Source organism: Homo sapiens, chromosome 7, assembly GCF_000001405.40.
Source record: "Homo sapiens chromosome 7, GRCh38.p14 Primary Assembly".
NCBI lineage: Eukaryota > Metazoa > Chordata > Mammalia > Primates > Hominidae > Homo > Homo sapiens.
The window spans coordinates 64,906,395-64,931,648 of record NC_000007.14 but is presented as its reverse complement, the minus strand read 5'-3'; the positions used below and the strand labels follow the sequence as shown (position 1 = coordinate 64,931,648).

Sequence of the window (25,254 nt, the reverse complement as noted above, 5' to 3'; positions counted from 1 at the left end):
AATAAATTTACTTATGAAAATTATGAAAAGTGAAAGAAAGAATAACTTTAAAAAAGTCGGCTTACATAGGGTTCTCCAATTAAAAGAACAAAGGGCAATGTTTTAACTAAATAAATAAAATATAACTTAATAGACTAATAGTAAAATTACATCTAAAAATTACTTTTTGTGCACTACTAAATTTTATAAAAAAAATAATTGTTGTAATCCCTGACCAGCTCATATAATACTTCATAAACTGTAAAAGAAATTGTAAGAAAAAAGAAATGTATGGCTCTACCATGAGTACCAGGCAAGTAAAAACAGAACATCTGCATGGGGAGATTCTGAACCATAAGCCATAATATTTTACAGTAATGAATTCAGTACAAAGCAGAGAGAGTATAGATTTGCTTTCAGCATTTTTGAGGTTGTTAGTTTTCTAATAAATTAGTCACCTTATTAAAATGATTTGTTTTGTTCCAATATTGCTGTTTTCTTTTGAAAACAGGTACAAACATACTCACACAAGCACACTTACTCTACAATTTTCTTACACTTAAGATTTATCTTTAAAGTAAAATATATGTATATTTAACTCTATGTAAATCAAAACTGAGTCTTTATATGTTTGCAGGCAAAGAGGCCACATGTTAGAAGAAAAATATATAACAAATTTTTAAAAATATTCAGGACTCAGAAATGTATGTATTTTATTCATACTTTTGTAATTTTTATTATGACCATAAAAATAACCCTGTAGTCCATAACAATTTAGTTGTACATTTTAAAATAAAATACAAAGGATAAATGCTAGTAAGGGATACCTCATTTACCCTGATGTGATTATTACATATTATATACCTGTATCAAAACATGCCATATACAGCATAAAAACATACTATGTACCCATGAAAAATAAGAACAATAAATTTAAATAAGAAAAAATATAAATGTAAAACCTATGGGAATATTTAACTTATCTGCAGTTTAAAGCCACTGGCAAAAGAGATTACTAAAAATGTTAGTCCACTATGTAACCAAATAATATATTGCTATCATCTTTTACCTACACCATTGAGTAAGGTGAGGTAGGTTAGTTTGTGGCATAATAACGCTTCACTGAATGCACAAGTCTTAACATGTTAAAACATGTTTAAAAATCTAAGTTCATACATAATCTAAAAATTTTGAAATGTACTGCATTATGAAAAGCACAATTCATAAAATGATATAATTGAATTTTAATATTAAAAATTTTTCACTATAATGCAGAATATTACTCTGAACACCTACCTCATGCATCACTCAATATTATCAGTTAACCACAAGAGCCTCTCTACTTAGATTTTCATCATGCATCTTTCATTTTAATGTTCTTACTCTTCCACAGAAAAGGTCATAAATAATGCCCACCTAATAAAAAAAAAAATCTCATATCTTTGATGCAGCAAGTTGATCACATGCTTTCACATGTGAATACAATAGGAATGAAGAAAAAACATGCGCCGGGTGCAGTGGCTCATGCCTGTAATCCCAACATTTTGGGAGGCCGAGGCGGGCATATCACCTGAGGTTGGGAGTTTGAGACCAGACTGACCAACATGGAGAAACCCTGTCTCTACTAAAACCACAAAAATTAGCCAGGTGTGGCACATGCCTGTAATCCCAGCTACTAGGGAGGCTGAGGCAGGAGAATTGCTTGAATCTGGGAGGCAGAGGTTGCGGTGAGCTGAGATCACGCCATTGCACTCCAGCCTGGGCAACAAGAGTGAAACTCCGTCTCAAAAACAAACAAACAAACAAACAAAAAACCCAAAACCAAAACCAAAAAAAAAAAAACCATGAATTTGAGAGTTGAATTACATTATTCACTTTTCAAAAAACCTGTAATTTTTTCCAAAGAAAAGTGTACTCTGAATGTAAATATACCTCTGCCAAAAACTTGTTCACTATTAGTTATCTACCAACTTTTGTTTTGGATAACTTTCTGTACTCAGCACTCTGATTTTGTGTAATGTCTGAAGTGTCAGTATCTTAGATATCTGTATTGTGAATTCTCTGATATTTATATAAACCTAACTTTGGATCATTTCTTTCATATTTACTGCTGCATTTGCAAAAATATATTTTAGTGTAATTCCTCCCATGTTTTCTAAGCTGTTGTTGAAAAAAATATTTTTCCAAATTCATTACACTCATAGGGTTTTTCTCCAATATAAATTTCCTGGTATTGAACAAAGTTTGAACAACTGCTTCAGGGTTTTTCTCTGGTACAAAATGTGTACAATAAGATCTATGATACAAACAAAGGTACTACAAACCTCTTTGTACTTTTAATGTTTCTCTTCAAAATAAATACTCTGCTGCACTTTGCAGGCTTATATTGTCTGAAAGATCTTTTGACAGTAATTTCATTGATAATGCTTTTATTAAATACCAACTCGCTGATGTTAAGATATGAGCAGATATTAATGACTTTTCCATTCTTTATACAATTTTTCTCAAGTATAAATGCTTTCCTGTGCAATAAGGAAAACTCCACTTCTGGGAGTTTTCTCCAGTATGAATTATCTTATATACAATCAAGTGTGACAACCGCTTAAAGGCTTTGTCACATTCTTCACATTTCTAGGATTTCTCACCCATATGATTTCTTTTATGTCTAGAAAAGTTTGGGGTGTTGTCAAAAGCACTGTCACATCTTTTAGGTTTGTATGGTTTCTCTCCAGTATGAATTTTCTTATGTCGAGTAAGGTTTGAGGACCGGTTAAAAGCTTTGCCACATTCTTCACATTTGTAGGGCTTCTCTCCAGTATGAATTCTCTTATGTTTAGTAAGAGTTGAGGACCAGTTAAAGGCTTTACCACATTCATTGCATTTGTAAGGTTTCTCTCCAGTATGAACTCTCTTATGTTCAGTAAGGGTTGAGAATGCCCTAAAGGCACTGCCACATTCTTCACATTTGTAAGGTTTTGCTCCAGTATGAATTATCTTATGTTTAGTAAGGGTTGAGAATACACTAAAGGCTTTTCCACATTCTTCACATTTGTATGGTTTCTCTTTAGTATAAATTCTCTTATGTTTAGTAAGAGTTGTGGACCGTTTAAAGGCTTTACCACATTCTTCACATTTGTAGGGTTTCTCTCCAGTATGAACTATCTTATGTCTAGTAAGGGTTGAGGACTGGTTAAAAGCTTTGCCACATTCTTCACATTTGTAGGGTTTCTCTCCAGTATGAATTCTCTTATGTTTAGTAAGAGTTGAGGACCAGTTAAAGGCTTTACCACATTCATTGCATTTGTAGGGTTTCTCTCCAGTATGAATTATCTTATGTTTAGTAAGGGTTGAGAATATACTAAAGCCTTTGCCACATTCTTCACAATTGTAGGGTTTTGTTCCTGTATGAATTATCTTATGTTTAGTAAGGACTGAAAATACACTAAAGACTTTGCCACAATCTTCACATTTGTAAGGTTTCTCTTCAGTATGAATTTTTTTATGTTTAGTAAGAGTTAAGGACTGGTTAAAGGCTTTGCCACATTCTTCACATTTGTAGGGATTCACTTCAGGATGAATTATCTTATGTTTAGTAAGATTTGAGAACTGGTTAAAGGCTTTTCCACATGTCTTACATTTGTAGAAATTCACTCTAGTAGCAGTTTTCTTATGCTGAGTTAGTTGTGAAAGTATGCAACATGATTTGCCACATTCTTTACATTTGAAAGGTTTCTTTCCAGTTTGTCTTTTCTTATGTATATTTGAATTTGAGAATTTATGAAGGACTTTAACATATTTATCACATTGAAATATTTTGCTCTGGGTAGTTGTCAAACATTGGTTAAGTCCATTATAACCTCTTTTGTGCACCTTATGCTCATCCGCACTTTTACAGCCTTTTCTTAATTGTAAATTCTCATGTCCATATTTTCCATATCTTCTCAGTATCACTTTTTGAAAAGAATCTTTTAAGCCCTGCTTTGGCCAAAGGTCTTGGGCAAAATGAGAACACACAACTGAAAGAAATAAAAGTAACAATTACCCCACTTACTAGACTCAGATGAATATACTTTACAAATCTAACCTATAAAAATATACAAACTACATAAGGAAGATGGTATAGCAAAATACCACAGGCCCTAATTCCTTCACAGACATATCAATGTAACAAAAACATACTGACCAAGATACATTTGTGGAAAATTTATAAATGAGTTAAGTGTGTGCAGTGCCCCAGGTAAGCACAATGCAAAGAGCCATATAGAAGGAAAAGTCTATTGCAGGTCGGGTGCAGTGGCTCATGCCTGTAATCCCAGCATTTTGGGAGGCCGAGGCAGGCAGATCACAAGGTCAGGAGTTCAAGACCAGCCTGACCAACATGGTGAAACCTTGTCTCTGGTAAAACCACAAAAATTAGCCGGGTGTGGCACATGCCTGTAATCCCAGCTACTCAGGAGGCTGAGGCAGGAGAATCCCTTGAACCCACAAGGTAGAGGCTGCAGTGAGCTGAGACTACGCCATTGGACTTCAGCCTGGGTGATGAGAGTGAGACTCTGTCTCAAAAAAAAGGAGTAAATTGCCAACTCTTGGTTTCTTTTTGAAAAGAGAAGAAAAACAGTGGCACACACATATTCATTTCAGACTTCTAGGGGCCTTTCCAGACACTGGTTTCTGTCTCTCCTGACAAATGCAAAAGAAATGGTGATATACTATGGAATAACAGTTTGAGTCAGCTGAGACCCAAGGTGAATGTTGCAGCAGCAGAGAAACTGCAGTACCACAGACAAGGAACAGGTGTAGCAAGTGATTACTGACTATTAAGAAGAAACATGAACAAACTCCTTTAACTAAAAAACCCAAAAAATTTCAGAAAAGACACATTTTAAGAACATGTTTGAGAGACTACCAAAATCTCTAGCCAAGACAGTTGGTTTCAGACTAAGCCAAGACAAAGATACGTTATAAAGATTGTGATGGGTAGCTTGTTTTTAATGTCCAAATCTCAATAAAAAATTATAATGCATACAAAATAGGAAGGCAACATGGCCTCATCAAAAACATTATAAAATTTTCTGAAAGCAACTATTAAAGAATGAAGCTGTAAAAATTAATTTTAAAAATTTAAAATAAATTGAATAATACTCAATGAATTAAATAGGAACACAGACAACTACTGAAAATCAGAAATATGAGGATAAAAACAAGTGTTAAAAATATCAAAAACAAATTGTTAAGGTAAAATGACAAAAAAACTAAAAAATTTTAAAAGTAGGAAAATCTGATGTAAAAATGAAGATGCTCAACAAACTAGGATACAAACAAAGATATTTATAACACACACATATATAAGCACGATTTCAACAGTCACAGGCAAGACAATCTTGGGAACTGTAAGATGAAAGTGATGTGTCATTTACAAGGATAGTCTTATGAGAAAACCAGTGAATTAGTCAAGAAAATTTTGCAGGCCAGAGAAAAAACTGTGTGATATAGTCAAAGTCCTTAAAAAAAAAAAAAAAGCTGCCAAGTGAGAATAATACCATCAGCAAAACTGTCCTACCAGATAAAAAGGAAAAGATCTTCCAAAATAACCAAATCCTGAAAAAGTATATTGGCACTCCATTTGCCCTACATATCAAAGATGGTGAAAAGGAGTTATTTCCACTGAAAATAACATGATGCAAGAAAACAACACATAATCATATGAAAATACATAACTTTCTGGGAGAGACATGCACATACACAAAAATACTATTCCTTAGCATTATCATAATGGTGCAGTACACATTTTTAATTATTCTCTAGAACTTGAAAGATAAAAGCATAGAAATTGTTATAAACAACTGTTAATAGACATACAACATAAAAAGATAATTAGCACCATCAATAACAAGGTTGAGGGCAGATGTAATGAGGAAAAAACTTTGTATGCAGCCGGGCATGGTAGCTCATGCCTGTAATTCCAGCACTTTGGGAGGCCAAGGCGGGTGAATCGCAAGGTCAAGAGTTCGAGACCAACCTGGCCAACATTGTGAAACCCTGTCTCTACTAAAAAAATACAAAAATTAGCCAGGCATGGTGGCGCGCGCCTGTAGTCCCAGCTACTCAGGAGGCTGAGGCAGGAGAATTGTTTGAACCTGGGAAACAGAGGTTGTGGTGAGCCAAGATTGTGTCACTGCACTCCAGCCTTGGCAACAGAGCGAGACTCTGTCTCAAAAAAACAAAAACAAACAAAAAAACTTTGTATGCAACTGAAGTTAATTTTTTTTACCAGGTTAAACTATATTGTTTTATCTTTTAGAGGTTTTATGTAATCCCCAAGGTACCCCAAAAAATATCTGTATGGATACACAAATAAGAAAGAAATGAAAGCATATCGATACAAAAATCGCAAAGACACACAGAAGATAAAGAAAATGAGAGACAAAGATACAAGAATCAAATAAAACTAATAAAATGATATTAGTAAGACTTTCTCCTTCAGAAAATTATTTGAATATATATAATTAACTTTCCGATCAAGAGACATACATTTAATAAAGGGATTTATTTAAAAAATTGAAAAATCGGCCAGGCACGGTGGCTCATGCCTGTAATCCCAGCACTTTGGGAGACCGAGGCGGTGGATCACCTTAGGTCAGGAGTTTGAGACCAGCCTGACCAACATGGTGAAACCCCATCTCTTCTAAAAATACAAAAATTAGCCAGGCATGGTGGCGGGTGCCTGTAATCCCAGCTACTTGGGAGGCTGAGACAGGAGAAGCGCTTGAACCTGGGAGGCGGAAGTTGCAGTGAGCTGAGATGGTGCCACTGCACTACTCTAGCCTGGGTGACAGAATGAGACTCCCCCTAAAAAAAAAAAAAAATTTGAAAAATCCAGATCCAAGTTGCCTTTCTACAAGACTCAGCAAAGATCTAATAATAAAAAGACTGAAAGTGGCAAGATGGAAGTAATATTCCATGCAAATATTAACAAAACGAGAGCAGCAGACGTCAAAATAGTATTACACAAGCTACATCTTAAGTAACTGTCGTATTTTATAAAATGTACTTTAAGTCAAAACTCCAAAGAGACAAGTACGGACATTAAACAATAATAGATTCATGAGAAACTATGACAAATTTGCGCGCGCGCGTGTGTGTGTGTGTGTGTGTATGTGTGAGTGTGTGTCTCACATTAGTGTTCCAAATATATAAAGCAAATATCAACAGAATTGAAACACATAGAGAACAATATAATTATAGACTATTTTAATATCCCATTTTCTATAGTAAGAATAAAACAAGACAGAACATTAGTAAGAGAACAGAGGACCTGAAGGCAGTATAAAACAAATATTCCTAACATAGGTATACAAAACTCAACAACATTAAGATACACACCCTTATCAATAGCTTATACAACTTTCTTCTTGACAGACCACCAAATAAGTCAAAAGAGTCTTAAAAAGTATTTTAGAACTGAAATTTTATGGATTACTTTCTATAACAAAAATGGAATGACAATATAAAACAATATTAAAAGCTAACAAGTTTACAAATATATAGTAAATTAAACCACATTCTTTAGCATGCTTTTGTTCAAAAGTTGAAATATTGGGAAGATGTCTATACTGCTCAATGTAATCTACAAGATTTAATGCAATGTTTTCTCAATTTCTCATTGCATTTTTGAAGACATAAAAACAGCAACCCCTAAAGTATATGGAATCTCAAGAGACAATAAAGTACCTAACAATCTTCAAAAAAAGGAACAATGTTGGAAGCATTATAGTTTCTGATTTTAAAACATATTACAAAGCTACAGAATTAAAACAATTTGCTACAAGTATAAAGGTAAAAAAAAAAAGGAGACTAGTAAAATAGAATGCAGCACATATATATACTTTCACATATGTGGTCATATGAAGAGTCATTTTCATACCCATAATTATTATACCATTGTTACTGAAAGCCAATAGGTAAAAGCAATGCAAATTTCTGTCACCAAATCATTCAGTAGATATGATCTGAAATATAAAAATACTTGGCCGGGCACTGTGGCTCATGCCTGTAATCCCAGCACTTTGGGAGGCTGAGGAGGGCGGATCACACGAGGTCAGGCGTTCGAGACCAGCCTGGCCAACATGGTGAAACCCTCACTCTACTAAAAATACAAAAATTAGCCGGGCATGATGGCACTCGCCTATAATCCCAGCTACTCGGGAGGCTGAGGCAGTAGAATCACTTGAATCCCGAGGGGCAGAGGTTGCAGTAACCCAAGATCACGCCACTGCACTCCAACCTGGGTGAAAGAATGAGAATCTGTATAAAAAATAAAAATAAAAAAACACACACACACACAAAACAAACAACAACAATAAAACTGGACTGTCACTCAGTTTTCAAAAAGCGGAAGATATTCTAACAACTATAACGATAAATCTTGATGACATTATGCAAAATAAAATGAGCTGCCACAAAAAGACAGAGTTTGTATGAGATATATGATGCAGTTACACTCCTAGAAAAAAAAGAGTAGTGTTTGAAAAGTGCCATGAAAACGGGAAAAAATGGTAGTTGTTTAATATGTGTTGAGACTAGCTTTGTAAGATAAAAACACTTAGTAAAATGTTGCATAATATAATTAGTATGACTAAACTGAATATTTAAGAATATTTATTGTAAATTTTGCGATTTTCTTTTTTTCTTTTTTTTTAATTTTGAGACAGAGTCTTGCTCTTCCACCTAGGCTGGAGTGCAGCAGCACCATCTTGGCTCACTGCAGCCTCCACATCCTCAGCTCAAGCGATTCTCATGCCTCAGCCTCCGGTAAAGCTGGGATTACAGGCATGCACCACCACACCTGGCTAATGTTTCGTATTTTTAGTAGAGACAGGGTTTCACCATGTTGGCCAGGCTGGCCTCAAACCCCTGACCTCATGTAATCTACTCGCCTCGGCATCCCAAAGTGCTGGGATTACAGGTGTGACATGGACTAATAACCTGATCCCAGGAGTTTGAGACCAGCCTGGGTAACATGGCAAAGCTCTGTCTCTACAAAAAATACAAAGAAACTAGTCAGGCACAGTGGCTCACACCTGTAATCCCAGCACTTTGGGAGGCTGAGGCAGGAGGATCACTTGAGGTCAGGAGTTCAAGACCAGCCCGGCCAACATGATGAAACCCCATCTCTACTAAAAATGCAAAAATTAGTCGCTGTAATCCCAGCTACTCAGGAGGCTGAGGAAGGAGAATCACTTGAACCTGGGAGGCAGAGGTTGCAGTGAGCCGAGATCATGCCACTGCACTCCAGTCTGGGTGACAGAGGGAGACTCTGTCTCCGGGGGAAAAAAAAAACAAAAAAACAAAAACAAAGAAACTAACTGGGTATAATGGTACATACTTGTAACCCAGATACTTGAGGGACTGAAATGATAGAATCATCTGAGTTTGGAAGGTTGAGGCTGCAGTGAGCTGTGATCACACCACTGCAAACCAGCGTGGTTGATGGAATGAGATCCTATCTCGAAAATAAATAAATAAATACAATTATTAAAAAAAAAAAAAAAGGAAATAGAATGCCAGAGTGGCTTAAGAAAAAAGCATAAAATATGCTGCCTACAAGAGACTCATTTTAGCATTGAGTCAAATAGGCTGAAAGTAACCTATTGGAAAATATCTATGTTCCGTGAAAATAGTAACCGCAATTGGGTGAGGTGGTCATAATCATATCTGACACAGTATGCTTTAAGTATTAGTGGCTGGGCATGGTAGCTCTCACCTGTAATCCCAGCACTTTGGGAGGCCGAGGTGGGTGGGTCACCTGAGGTCAGGAGTTCGAGACCAGCCTGGCCAACATGGTGAAACCTCATCTCTACAAAAATACAAAAATTAGCCAGGCATGTTGGTGGGGGAGTGCCTGTAATCCCAGTTACTTGGGAGGCTGAGGCAGAAGAATCACTTGAACCTGGGAGGCGGAGATTGCAGTGAGCCGAGATCGTGCCATTGTACTCCAGCCTGGGCAAGAGAGCAAGACTCTGTCTCACACACAAAAAAAAAAAAAAAAAAAAAAAAAAAAAAAAGCATTAGCATGAAGCAAAGATTGATATTATATAATGGTAAAATAGGTCAATTTACCAGGAATCCATAACTATTATATGTATCTATCTGTGTATGTATGTATAACATCAGGGCTCCAATATATACATAGCAATTACTGACAAAAGTGAAGCAGGAAATACATACCAACATAATAATAGTAGACATCAAGACCCCATTTTCAAAAATAGAAAATTCAAATAAATTAATAAAACAAAGAAAACTTAAGGCTAGGTGTGGTGGCTCACGCCTGTAATCCCAGCACTTTGTGAGGCTGAGGTGGGCGGATCACGAGGTCAGGAGTTCGAGACCAGCCTGACCAACATGGTGAAACCTCGTCTCTACTAAAAATACAAAAATTAACTGGGCATGGTGGCACGTGCCTGAATCTTAGCTACTTGGGAGGCTGAGGCAGGAGAATCACTTAAACCCAGGAAGTGGAGGTTGCAGTGAGCTGAGATCATGCCATTGCACTCCAGCCTGGGACACAAGAGCTAAAAATTCTATCTCAAAGAAAAAAAAAAGAAAAATAAATATAAAATAAAGTAACAGAAAAATTTGAACTAGCAAATAGAAAGTAAAACTATGTAGGGAGAGTGACATCAGTAAGATGCAAAAATAAAAGGTGCCCTATTCATTTATCCCCTCACAACAAGAAAATTTGTCAGCCATCCCTGACAAAAATGCCTCTATGAGAGAATCAGGCATCATGGCTCATACCTGTAAGGACAGCTACATGGTACTTTAAGGTTGGAGAATCGCCTCACGGAGGAATTTTAAGACCAGCCTGGATTATGCAGCAACACCCCATCTTCAAAATAAGTGCCTTTAAAGAATCTTTGAGATCCAGGGAGGGAGTTATGAAACTCTGCTAAAGCTCAAGATTGAGGGGTGTTCTTTCCAGGAGGCAGGCCCTCATTCGGGAGGCAAACTACAGGACCCCTGTTCTTTGCTGCAGACCATGAAATGGCCCACCCAACTTGGTCTCACTGAGAATTCTGAACTTACTCTGTAACCATCCCAAACTCCTCCCAGCCACAGTCTGGGAGAGGTCCTGCCCTTCCAGAGGCTTAGAGAAAGACATGCATTTATAGCCATGCGGACAGACCTGCAGACCTTGGGCTTTACTATGGTCCCTGAAGCAGTTCAATGACTCAGTTCCAGCTCCCTGAGCTACAGTTCATGGCCGGTTCTGCCTACATAGAAATCCACACAGTGACCTGGGAAAATCCTCTCTGGTACTCAGTGAAATCCACACTCATCCATATCCTAATAAAAGGCCCACCATATATAGACCCAACTGCAAAAACCTGCCCTGGTGTCTGCCCTACAAAGCAAAGTCCTGAAAGATTCAGTCTGTCCAAAAATATAATGGGAATTACAACTACCCAAGCTCCTTGTAACAAGCCAACTAAAGGTGGACCCTAGTGCAGACCCAGCATCCTTGTGAGCAAGCTACAACCCCTCTCCACTACAAACCCAGAGGGCAAACCATCACTCTGGGGGCCCAACATAAAAAGATCTTTACCTGCTGAAACCAGGTTATAAAAACTTGAAGATGTGTTTGTTTCTTCAAATTCACAGACACCAATGCAAAACTATATTGTGCCATTGTCAATTGCTTCTATTTTAACATAGCACTGGAAGTATGTATTAGAAGAATTAGTTTAAAAAAAAAAAAGAAAAAATAGCCATTGAAATTGAGGACAAATAAGTAAAAAGTTGCTGTTGTAGATCACATGATCTTATCTTTTAAAAACCACAACTAGTACATGAAAACCTGTTTAATAAATACACTGAGTATATCAGCAAAATATAAAATTAACATACAAGCGTATGTTATGGTTTCATACACTTAAACTATCTGGTAAAATAGAGGAAGAAAACAATCTTATTTACATTAGCATTAAATCATAAATTTCTGAGAAGAAATTTAACCAAGCAGGTAAAAAATCTTTTTTGACCGTTTTGCTCTGTTGCCCAGGATGAAATGCAGTGGGGTGATCTCAGCTCACTGCAACCTCCGCCTCCCAGGTTCAGGTGATTGTCCTGCCTCAGCCTCCCAAGTAGCTGGCGTACACCACCACGTCCAGCTTATTTTTTGTATTTTTAGTAAATACGGGATTTCCATGTTGGCAAGACTGGTCTCGAACTCCTGACCTCAAGTGATCCACCCGCCTCAGCCTCCCAACATGCTGAGATTACAGACGTGAGCAGCCATACCCAGCCTAAAAAATCTTTACAATGAAGAAAATTAAGGAAGACGCAAATAAACTTAAAAATATTTTACGTATATGGATTCAAAGAATAAATATTGTTAAAGTGCCATTTATCCAAAGTGACCTACAGATTCAATAAACGCCCTATCAAAATTGCAATGGTATTTTATTCACAGTAATGGAAAATATAATCCTAAAATTTACATGAAACTACAATAAATTTTGAATAGCCAAAGCAATCTTGAGGAAAGAGAACAAAGTAGAAAGACATCATACTTTAAAATTTCAAACTATATTTCAAGACTATAGTAACAAAAACAGGATTAAATGTACAGAAAAATGAACAAAACCCAATGTAATATAAACTACTCTCACATATTTCAGATGTGATGCAAAAAGAGAACATGAAAAATAGTTTAACACAGAGTTTCTCAAAATTATGCAGATATCTGTGTGTCCCCCAAAACAATGGAAAAGCAGTAAGATTGTGCAGTTTCCTATATGCCAGGAATAGGACTTTAGCTTTCACCATAAACTTGAAGGAAAATCACTGAAGGGAAAGTAGAATCCTTAGAGAATTTAAAAGCATAAGACAGAATATGCTCCTATGTGAGAGCAAAGGAAAAAAAAAAATCCAGCTCTCCAGAAACTACTTTTTTTGAACGCAGCTTCCCAAATCACATTTTTTTTTTTTTTTTTTTTTTTTTTTTTGAGATGGAGTCTCACTCTGTCTCCAGGCTGGAGTGCAGTGGCACAATCTTGGCTCACTGCAACCTCCGCCTCCCTGGTTCAAGTGATTTTCCTGCCTCAGCCTTCCAAGTAGCTGGGACTACAGGCATGTGCCACCACGCCCAGCTAATTTTTGTATTTTCAGTAGAGACAGGGTTTCACCATGTTGGTCAGGATGCTCTGGATCTCTTGACCTCGTGATCCGCCCGCCTCGGCCTCCCAAAGTGCTGGGATTACAGACGTGAGCCACCGCGCCTGGCCCAAATCACATTTTAAGAACTGACTTTCTCCTTGACCTTTAGACCTGTCATCTGTGTCATCTGTTATATTCGCTATCACTCTCACCTACCTGGGGGTTTGGCTACCATCGCATGTCTCTTCATATTGCAGGGCTCTTTTCCTTGCTCCAGACAAGTGATCAGGTCTGGCTTAGAGACAGCAATACCTGTTTTATTAAAAATGAGTAACATGAATCTTGCTCATATTCTCCAATTATCAACCAGTAATGTGCTCAGTAAAGAGGATGTAATTAAGTATTCTAGTAAATTAATCCCAAAATATCTAATTAGTAATGTAAATTTCTAAATATTTAAAAAATATTTTAAATTTGTATGTTCTTAATTTCACTACTCAGTACTACGGAATGAAAAATTAGTGGTGGCAATTAGATTTTACGGTGTGGGCAACTTTTATGCCACTAAATTTTTGGAATTACCATTAATCTAGAGTGAAGGATACAGAGTAGCTCAAGAACGTGGAAAGTTCAAGTCAAGATGAAACATCTTGAAGAAATTCATTTCTAAATGAACAAATCCCCAGGATTTTGTTGAAAATAGGGATCTAAAATTTATTTATGCAAAGCAGAAATTTCCAAAAAACATTCTACAGAAAGGAGAAGTGAAACCTTTAAATTATGTATTAAAATTATCCTCACCCAGGAAGACCAGGTTTCTGTAGTTATCTAACATCACATTCCTATACAAATTCTGCTGTGAAGTGTCCAGGCATTGCCACTCCTCCAGAGAGAATTCTATGGCCACATCCCTAAATGTCAGTGGTCCCTGAAAAACACACACACACAAAAACATATTTACCAACTTGCTCTGGACAGAATATTTAATTTGACTCAAGGTGGAATGCGAAAGTAAAGAGAACTGGTTTTTACTTATAGGAGTGACTAAAATTATCCAATAAAATAATTTTCAAAACAGAAATATTCTCAAATGTGTTCTCTAACTCTGAGAAAAGAGTAGCATAAGATCCACAATAGCAGTTTATATATGATACTTTTCTAGATAATAAAGTATAAAATTAGTAACACAAACACGTACATTTGTGAGTGCTATATTTACATCATACAGAATCAGCTGTGTATATTTTTCAGATAGAAAAGAAATGCTGTGTTACAAGCTAGCTTTAAAATTTTAATGTGTACAGTAATAAACTGGAGATCTTGTTATGCAGATTTTCTTTCCAGAAGATCTGGAATAAAGTCTGAGTTTCCAAATTTTTAACAAGCTCACCAGTAATGCCAATGTTTTTGGCCCAAGAAGAATATTTTGTCAAACATCCAGTAAGTGGAAGAGCCTGTGATTTTCCCAGTTTTTCTGGCCTGTAAACAAAGATGAGAGCCTTTATTTTCCAAAGACAAATATATACAAAGGAAACCTAAGAAAGAAGGGCAGCTTCCAGATTAAATGTGATGGTTTATGCACATCAGCTGCATAAAGATACTTAATAAAGAAGAGAAAAATAATTAACTCTATAGTAAGAAAAATAAATCTGTCAGAGAGCTCTTTTATTTTATTATACTTTAAGTTCTGGGTTACATGTGCAGAACATGTAACATAGGTTACATGTTCTGTTACATAGGTATACCAAGTGAATCATTAACATCAACTGAACCAGGACAGATTTGTATGATGCGCTGAGGCACACAGAAAAACACAGCATCACTGCTTCAATATTGCCCCTCGCAAAAGTAAATTATAGTCTGAATTTAACCATACACAAACATCAGTTTTATGCCCTCTTCAAGATACAGATAACTCTTATGTTGTTATTTTGTGTGTATGGTTTTTTTTTTTTTTTTTTTTTTTGAGACAGTTTTGCTCCCTTGCCCAGGCTAGAGTGCAATGGTGTGATCTCGGCTCAGTGCAATCTTCGCCTCCCGAATTCAAGCGATTCTCCTGCTTCAGTCTCCCAAGTAGGTGGGATTACAGGCGCCTGCCGCCGCTGCCATGCCCAGCTAATTTTTTTTTTTTTTTTTTTACATTTTTAGTAGAGATGGGGTTTCACCATGTTGGCCAGCCTGGTCTCGAACTCCTGTCCGCCTCAACCTCCAAAAGTGTATGGGATTACAGGCGTGAGCGACGTGCCTATCTTATGTTGTTATTTTTAACAGTAATTTTAAGTAGTCTTCAACACCGTAGAGAGCAGTTTTCTCCTAATAATTTTTTTTCTTGTTGCCCAGGCTGGAGTACAGTGATGCAATCTCTGATCACTACAACCTCTGCCTCTCAGGCTCAAGCGATTCTCCTGCCTCAGTCTCCCTAGTAGCTGGGACTACAAGCATGTGCCACCACACCCAGCTAATTTTTGTATTTTTAGTATAGACGAGGTTTCACCATGTTGGCCAGGCTGGTCTTGAACTCCTGGCCTCAGGTGATTTGCCCACCTCAACCTCCCAAAGTGCTGGGATTACAGGCATGAACCATCATGCCTGGCCATCTCTGAGTAATTATTTTTTAGAACTTTTTGGGTAATAAATGTTATCCTGTTTAAATAAGCATTTTGTTAATTCTGTTCTGCATAGAGCTAATGGAGAACACAAATGAAACCCCAACATTACATGTTCTCCATATTTACAAAGGACCCCAGCTTGTTGGAAACAGGCCCCCCAAAATCTGGCCATAAACTGGCCCCAAAACTGGCCATAAACAAAACCTCTGCAGCACTGTGACATGTTCATGATGGCCATGACGCCCACGCTGGAAGGTTGTGGGTTTACCGGAATGAACACCTGGCCCACCCAGGGCGGAAAACCGCTTAAAGGCTTTCTTAAACCACAAACAATAGCATGGGCGATCTGTGCCTTCAGGACGTGCTCCTGCTGCAGATAAGTAGCCCAACCCATCCCTTTATTTCAACCCATCCCTTTATTTCCCATAAGAACTACTTTTAATCTATAATCTACATAAACAATGCTTATCACTGGCTTGCTGTCAATAAATACGTGGGTAAATCTCTGTTTGAGGCTCTAAGCTCTGAAGGCTGTGAGACCCCTGATTTCCCACTTCACACCTCTATATTTCTGTGTGTGTCTTTAATTCCTCTAGCGCCGCTGGGTTAGGTTCTCCCTGACCGAGCTGGTCTCGGCACCAGCTTTTCCCCAATAGGAATGTTGAGTATCCACAGCCACAAAGGAAACATTTTTAATGTTGCACATCACAAAGTCATGTGAGAATTCTGCATGGAATATAAGAAGCCACGATGTAGAGAAAGTAGAGTAGGCTCTGGTATATAGGAAAGAAGTATTTTTCAGAGATGCTTGACTATCATGAGAATTTTTTAAAGTAGTTAAAATAAACTTAATAGGGAAGAAAAATGCAAGTAGAGAAGCAAAGGTTTACAAGTACTAAACGCATGGCATTCCAGGAGGCAGAGTGGACACAGCTCTTGATCTGAGACATGTTTAGCTAAAAAAAAAAAAAAAAGGCCATTTTTTCCCCTTTTCTCCTCCTTCTCTGGGATTCCTTCTCAGATGAGAGTCTCTGGACTAATTACACACCTGCATCTTGAGAATGTGCCTTTGAAGTGTCAGCACCGCCTGCTTATCTGCTAGCACCACACCCACAGGCAGATGACATGAAAAACTCCAAAACAGATAAAGCCCGCCCGTTTCTGTTCTTTATAACAGCAAAGATTCAGGAACAATGAGCTACTCCACAGAGATAAAAATAAAGTTTCTCTTTATCTATCCTCAGGTGCCCTCCCTTGCCACAGACACCAGCAATTTCTGCTACAGTAATGGCAATATGGGCTGTACTGTCCTGTTCCTACCAAACTCAAACAGAACTGGCCCTGTGACCACCCTTTAGTACAAAGGCAGAAATTAACTCTCATGAATGTATTTTGAACCCCTCATAGCTGATTCTGTTCTCACTCTAGAATCACATGAGGCACTTATTAGGTTGGTGTGAAAATAACTGTGGCTGTTGCCAATTTTTTTTTAATGGCAAGGTAAAAGAAATAAAAATAATAAGTAATAATAATAGTGTTTTTTTTTTTTAAATAGCAGAAACAGTCCAGGTGTGGTGGCTCATGCCTATAATCCCAGCACTTTGGGAGGCCAAGGTGGGTGGATCACCTGAGGTCAGGAGTTCAAGACCAGCCTGACCAACATGGCCAAACCCCATAACCCCATCTGTACTAAAAAAAAAAAAAAAAAAAAAAAAAATACAAAAATTACCAGGACGTAGTGGTGCATGCCTGTAATCCCAGCTACTGGGGAGGCTGAGGTGGGAGAATCGCTTGAACCCAGGAGGCAGAGGCTGAAGTAGCCGAGATCAAGCCATTGCACTCCAGCCTGGGTGACAGAGCAAAAATCTGTCTCAAAAACAAAAAAAGGCGAAAACGACAATTACTTTTGCACCAATCTAATAATTAAAACAACATGGATGCTTCCACCAAGAACATTAAACAGAACTTGTGGAAAGGGCACAAGTAAAAAGATTTCTGCAAATTGGCCATGTAATCCTCATTAGAAGCCTGAGCTGATAACCACTTAGCTAAGCATTGCCTCTCAGACTTTAACGAGCTTATAAATCACTTCGTAATTTTGACCCAACTCTATGTAATGTTATTCTGCAGGTTTGCAAAGGGTCCATGAATCGGTGTTTTAAACAAGTCCTCGTCAATGCTGATGTTGCTCCCCTTAGGCTCATTATTAGCTCTAGTTAGAGGAAGCAGGCACAGCAAAGTGTACCTTACACTCAGCACTCTTGTCATAACACAAGTGAAGACAATCCATCTCCACCCTAAAGTATCTTCTTCGCTGTCTCTTTAAAGTTTACAGATTAAACAGAAGGCAGCAATGTCTGAATAAGTCTGCATTTGAAAAACAGCATGTACACATGTACTACTGCAATGTTTATTAAGCAGACACTGTGTTCACCGTGTTCTCACTCTCAAGAGTATGTTACACAGCGCTTCGCTGGAAATAACACATTATGTGATTGAATCCTCGTAACACCCTGGGAGCTAGTACCAAACATTCAATAATTCCCAGGATTTAAATGAAGGGCCCAGCATTTTTACTTCTTCTTCTGTTTCTCTGTCACTGATTTTTTAAAAAATGCATAGAATAAAAACAAAATATAGACAGATGAGAGAGACACAGAAAGGAAAATTTCAATGTAGTTTAAAGGAATTTTTATTGTGTTTATATTTACTTTTTTGTGACTTGTGAAACAATCACTGGATCTGCAAGAATAGAAAATAAGTTGCTGGCCGGGTGCAGTGGCTCAGGCCTGTAATCCCAGCACTTTGGGAGGTCAAGGCAGGTGGATAGATCACCTGAGGTCAGGAGTTCGAGACCAGCCTGGCCAACATGGCGAAACCTCATCTCTACTAAAAATACAAATATTAGCTGGACATGGTGGTGTACACCTGTAGTCCCAGCTACTTGGGAGGCTAAAACAAGAGAATCACTTGAACCCAAGAGGCGGAGGTTGCAGTGAGCCAAGATCGCACCACTGCACTCCAGCCTGGATGACAGAGCGAAACTCAATCTCAAAAAAAAAAAAAAAAAAAACTAAAATGAATCCTGAGTCAAAAAGAAAAACAAAGGGTTTATTTAGCTGTTCATATGATTTACATATATTCAAAAAAGCAGAAAAATATCTACATATAATCTAAATGCTTTAAGAAAACAGAGAAGAGCAAAATATTCTCCCTTATTTTCAGGAAACAGAATCATAAAGCCTCTTATTTCTAATTTATATTTTCTCCTACAACAGCCAGGTCTCAGGACATGCTCTTGAACTCTTGGACATCTGAACTCAGTAGATAACTGGATTCAGGCATCTAAGGAGTAGCCTTGGGCACACTGTGTGCACTTTAAAGAATGTTTATGGGGTGGGGGGAACAGAAGAAAAGAGGTGTTATTCATGAGTGCACATGAATAAAGCAAGTTCTTAGAAACCTATGAAGAGACTTCGATTCTAGCACAGTAATAGTGGAAGAAAACAACACCCCACAGACACTATTAGACAGATTATTGAGGCAGGAAATTAACAAAGATATTAGGACCTAAACTCAATACTTGATCAAATAATCCTAATAGAAATCTACAGAACTCTCCAACTAAAAACAACATAAATGGCCAGGCATGGTGGCTCACGCCTGTAATCCCCATACTTTGGGAGGCCGAGGCGGGCGAATCACCTCAGATCTGTTCAAGACCAGCCTGGCCAACATGGTGAAACCACGTCGACTCTATTAAAATTAGAAAAATTAGCTGAGTATGGTGGCGGGCACCTGTGATCCCAGCTACTAGGTAGGCTGAGGCACAAAAATCGCTTGAACGCAGAAGGCAGAGTTTACGGTGAGCCATACAATTACGTGGAACTTAACCTGCACTTGAATGATATTTGGGTAAATAATGGAATTGAGACAGGAATCAAGAAGTTTTTTGAAACAAATGAGAGCAAAAATACAACATACCAGTATCCCTGGAACACAGCTGAGGCAGTGTTAAGAGGGAAATTTATGCCATTAAATGCTCACATCAAAAAGTTAGAAAGATCTCGATTTAACAACCTAATATCACAAATAAAAGAATAAGAGAAGAGCAAATCCCTAAACTAGCAGAAGACAAGAAAAAACTAAAATCAGATGTGAACTGAAGGAGATTTAGACATAAAAAAACTATACAAAATATTAAGAAATTCAGAAGTTAAAACTTTGAAAAAATTAATAAAATAAACCAATAGCGAGATTAATGACGATTCAAATAAATACAATTAGAAATGACAAAATGAACATTACCACTGAACATACAAAAATACAAATAACTTGGCCAGGCACAGTGGCTCACACCTGTAATCCCAGCACTTCGGGAGGCTAAGGCGGGTGGATCACCTCAGGTCGGGAGTTCGAAACCAGCCTGACCAACATGGAGAAACCCTGTCTCCACTAAAAATACAAAATTAGCCAGGCATGGTGGCGCATGCCTGTAATCCCAGCTATTTGGGAGGCTGGAGCAGGAGAATCACTTGAACCCAGGAGGCAGAGGCTGCAGTGAGCTGAGATCATGCCATTGCAACCAGAGTGAAACTCCATCTCAAAAAAAAAAAAAAGGCTAGTTCACTATAATCAAGTAGGCTTTGTCTTTAAAATGCAAAGTTGGTTCACCATACACAAATCAATAAATGCTATTTATCACATAAACAAAACTAAAGACAAAACCCACAAGATTATCTCAATAGCTGCAGAGAAAGCTTTTGATAAAATTTAACATACTTCATGTAAAAAACCTTCAACAAACTAGGCATTAAAGGTACACACTTTAGCCCAGTGCAGTGGCTCACTCACGCCTGTAATCCCAGCACTTTGGGAAGCCGAGGTGGGTGGATCACCTGGGGTCAGGAGTTTGAGACCAACCTGGCCAACACGACGAAACCCCATCTCTACTAAAAATAGAAAAATTAGCCAGGCATGGTGGTGCATGCTTGTAATCCCAGCTACTTAGGAGGCTGAGGCTGGAGAATTGTTTGAACCTAGGAGGCGGAGGTTGCAGTGAGTCGAGATTGCACCATTGCACTCCAGCCTGGGCAATAAAAACAAAACTTCGTCTCAAAAAAAAAAAAAAAATAAATTACAGATTTAATGCTATTTTATCAAATTACCAAAAAGATTCTTAACAGAAAAAAAAACTATTTTAAAATTCATATGAAACAAAAACAAACAAAACTTGAATAGCCAAGGCAATCTTAAGCAAAAAGAACAAAGCTGGAGTCATTACATTACCAGACTTCAAACTATACTACCAGGCTACAGTTACCAAAGCAGCATGGTACTGGTACAAAACAAAACAAAACAAAAAACAGGCTCATAGACCAATGCAACAGGACAGAGAGCCCAGAAATAATGCCACACACCTACAACCATCTGATCTTCTACAAAGCTGACAAGAGGAATGTGGGAAGAATTCCCTGTTTAATGGTGCTGGAATAACTAGCTAGTACTATGTATAAGATTGAAACTGGACCCCTTCCTTACACTACATACAAAAGTCAACTCAAGATAAATTAAAGACTTAAATTTGAAACTTAAAATTATACAAAAGCCCTGGAAGATAACCTAGGAAAGACCATTCTAGATATAGGAACTGGCAAATATTTCATGTTGAGGATACCAAAAGCAATTGCAACAAAAGCAGAAATGGACAAATAAGACCTAATTAAACTAAAGAGCTTCTTCACACCAAAGGAAACTATCAACAGAGTAAAAAGACAACCTACAGAACAATAGAAAATATCTGCAAACTATGCTTCTGCCAAATGTCTAATATCCAAAATTAATAAAGAACTTAAGCAAGTTTGCCAGAAAAAAAAAACTAGGAAAAAAGCATGAACAGATGTTCTTCAAGAGAAGACACACATGTGGCTAACAAGCATATTAAAAAATGCTCATTATTAATCATTAGAGAAACGTAAAGAAAAACCACAGTGAGATACAATCTCATACCAGTCAGAATGGCTATTAATAAAAAGACAAAAACAAACAAACAAACAAAAAAAAACGATGCTTGCAAGGCTGCAAAAAAAAAAGAATACTTATACACTGTTAGTGGGAGTATAAATTAGTTCAACCACTGTGAAAGCAGTGTGATGATTTCTCAAAGAACTAAAATCAAAATTACCATTTGATTCAGCAACCTGAATACCCCAAAAATACTCTATATACCCCCCAAAATATAAATTATTCTATTATAAAGACACATGCAAATGCATGTTCATTGCAGCACTATACACAATAGTACTTGTGAGCAAAGACATGGAAGCAACCTAAATGTCTATCAATAGTAGACCGGATAAAGAAAACATTATGGCTGGGCGCGGTGGCTCACACCTATAATCCCAGCACTTTGGGGGGCCAAGGTAGGCAGATCACTTGAGGTCAGGAGTTGGAGACCAGCCTGGACACCATGTTGAAACCCCGTCTCTACTAAAAAATACAAAACAAATTAGCCAGGCATGGTGGTGCATGCCTGTAATCCCAGCTGCTTGGGAGGCTGAGGCAGGAGAGTCGCTCGAGCCTGGGTGGTGGAGGCTGCAGTGAGCCAATATCGTGCCACTGCACTCCAGTCTGGGCGACAGAGGGAGACTGTCTCAGAAAAAAAAAAAAAGAAGAAAACATATTGTTGGGTGCAGTGGCTCACGCCTGTAATCGCAGCACATTGGGAGGCCAAGGCAGTTGGATTGCCTGAGCTCAGCAGTTTGAAACTAGCCTGGGACAACATGGCAAAACCCCGTACGTACAAAAAATACAAAAAGAAAAACTAGCTAGGTGTGGTGGCATATGCCTGTAGTCCCAGCTACTTTGGGGGCTGAGGTAGGAGGATTGCTTAAGCCCAGGATGTTGAGGCTGCAGTCAGCCAAGATCACCCCACTGTACTCCAGCCTGGGCAATAGAATATCCTGTCTCCAAAATAAAACAAAATATTTAATAAAAACAAAATATGATATATAAACATCATGAAATACTGTGTGGCCCTAAAAAAATAATAATAAGGTTATGTCCTCTGCAGCAACATGGTTGGAGCTGGAGACCATCATCTTTAGTGAACTAATGCAGAAATGGAAAACCAAATACATGTTCTCATTTATAAGTAAGTGCTAAATAATAACACATGGCACCCTGGGAGGCAGAGCCCAGCAGATCAGTTGAGGTCAGGAGTTTGAGACCAGCCTGGTTAACATGGTGAAACCCTGTCACTATTTTTAAAAATAAATAAATTAGCCAAGCGTGGTGACAGGTGCTTGTAATTTCAGCTACTCAGGAGGCTGAGGCAGGAGAATCACTTGAACCTGGCAGGCAGAGGTTGCAGTGAGATCATGCCACTGCACTGTAGCCTGAGTAACAGAGCAAGACTCCATCTCAAAACAAACAAACAAAAACACATGGACTCAAAGCGGGGAACAACAAACACAGAGGCCAAGTTGAGGGTGGAGGGTGAGAGGACAAAGAGGATCAGAAAAAGTACCTATTTGGTGCTATGCTTACTACCTCAGTGACAAAATAATCTGCACACCAAAGCCTCACAACACAATTTTATGTATATAACAAATCAGCACGTGTACCACGAACCAAATATAAAAGTTAAAAGGAAAAAAAATCCATGAGTGGAGAATAGTGCAATGTAAGTGGATGGATTTGTTTGTGCTATCAGATAGTGGCCCAGGGGGGCTGTACTCTGATTTGTGTCCATGCAGGCAGATGAGATTATGAACAGGTTGGTAGAGGAAGCAGGTTGCTACTGCAGATTCAGTGTCTGGGGGTGGGGATATCCCCAGAGACATGTAGACACTTTTGTGGATTTTTGGCAAAAAATACCAGGATCAAAAATGTTGTGGTGAAATTCCTGAGGGTGGTTCCTAGTCCTGGGAGGGGTGTGGACACATCAATGTCTAGTGCGTATGTTTGAGAGTGGGTGGGAATCCTGTGGTGGCAGCTGTGGAAAAAAGGGGTCTGTTATCACAGCTCATTTCCTCTAAGTTGTCAGTTCTCGCTCACCCTGGGAGGAGACATGGAATCACAGGACAACGGGCAGTGTGACAGTCTGTGTACAGGAGAGCAGAGCCTCCCATTCCCAGACACCCAGAGTTCCATTCCAGGCCAGGCTTCTGTGATATCTTTCCTCTGGTACCAAATCTCTAGAGTTTGTGGAATACCAAGCAATTCTCTAACACCAACTAATTGTCTAACATTTGAATTCTGACACCACCCAGGGTCAGCACAGACCCTGATTCAGGGCTCAGTCCCACAACACTATCCTCACTGCAGATGCCAGTCACAAATTCCATAGGCCCATCTATACACTGGGGTTACTGTTTAAAAATTTGGGACTCCCATAACCTCCCTCAAGTTCAATAATTTGATAGAGCTACTCACAGAACTCAGCAAACACTGTAGTTATGTTGACCAGTTTATTATAAAAGACACAACGCAGGAAAACTCAAATGGAAGAAATGTATAGGACCAAGAAAAGAGGTGGGGAAAGATGAAGCACATAGATAATCCTGGTAAATAGCTGTGATTAATAAAATTATCCATCCTTTGTGCTCTCCAGGAACAGTTGATGGAAAGAAACACCCTCCCATTATGACTTAGATGGTGCTCTTTTCTTACCTATCACATAACCAAACACAGACTCCACATTTCCTTTTCTCATTAAAAACAAACAACAAACAAACAAAAAACAGCTGAACTGGTCTCAGTGGCTAAGAGGAAATATTTCTTAATCAAACTTTACTTAAGTTTATCTTCTTCCCACAGGCTCAGAATTTTGAGCTACCCTCAGTCTGAACCAACATACACCATTTTATGTCCCAGCTAAGAACATGCTGACTTCAGGGTAAAACATTCTCTGATATAAAATCTAATTTTCCCACCTTCTATTTGCCATCCCCTCCCACCTTCTTTCTAATCTTGTCTGCCTAAACTTTGCAGTCCTTCAAGATCTTATAGTTGGTACTTTGCCTGTTGCAACACTCTTTTGGAATTCAAATTTTTTTTTTTACATAACTTTGTTTTATTTTGTAAGTCTAGAAACTGCCTTAAAACAGTAACAACTTCATCTCCAGTAAGACCTTCCTAATCCCCTTCCATCTTAACTTTAACTGCATCTGCCTGTGGGTCCCCAGCTTTCCTGGGCTCTGTAGCTTCTCTCAGTATAAAGGCTTCTTCATGGCTGGTGTGAGCAGGCTGGGACATCTGCAGGGGAGGCTCCCCAAAAAGAACCTAACTGGGCCTTTAATAACCTCCTTTTGCAGGCTCCATATTAGCCTTAGCTTAGAGTCACTGGGCTGAAGCTTTAATTTCCATGTCAGAGGTATTAACTTGGTTTTTGAAAGTAAGTGTTTAAAAAATCCAGCAAAATTACTCAAACACAGTGATCATATAAGGGGAAGACATTTTAAGGTGTTTACATTTTATACCTCAACAAGAAAAGCAAAAGTAT

The 25,254-nt window shown here is 38.2% G+C and overlaps 1 protein-coding gene across 46 annotated transcripts in view; it reads right to left on the bottom strand.

The window, feature by feature from the left end:
- ZNF273 (zinc finger protein 273) overlaps positions 1-25,254 on the bottom strand; it is a 59,714-nt gene that overhangs the window by 5,668 nt on the left and 28,792 nt on the right. For 28 of the 46 annotated variants that reach the window (XM_047419800.1, XM_047419813.1, XM_047419803.1 and 25 more), the window contains 4 exons: positions 14,531-14,619; positions 13,942-14,068; positions 13,357-13,452; positions 668-3,995 (listed from right to left, as the gene is read on the bottom strand). In XM_047419800.1, the coding sequence (XP_047275756.1) occupies positions 2,611-3,995; positions 13,357-13,452; positions 13,942-13,975 (1,515 nt within the window). In that variant the 5' untranslated portion in view covers positions 13,976-14,068; positions 14,531-14,619 and the 3' untranslated portion in view covers positions 668-2,610. Of the gene's footprint in view, positions 1-667; positions 3,996-7,215; positions 8,284-13,356; positions 13,453-13,941; positions 14,069-14,530; positions 14,620-25,254 lie in introns of those variants that run through there. The other 18 variants (NR_169738.1, NR_169745.1, NR_169746.1 and 15 more) reach the window with 8 other exon arrangements.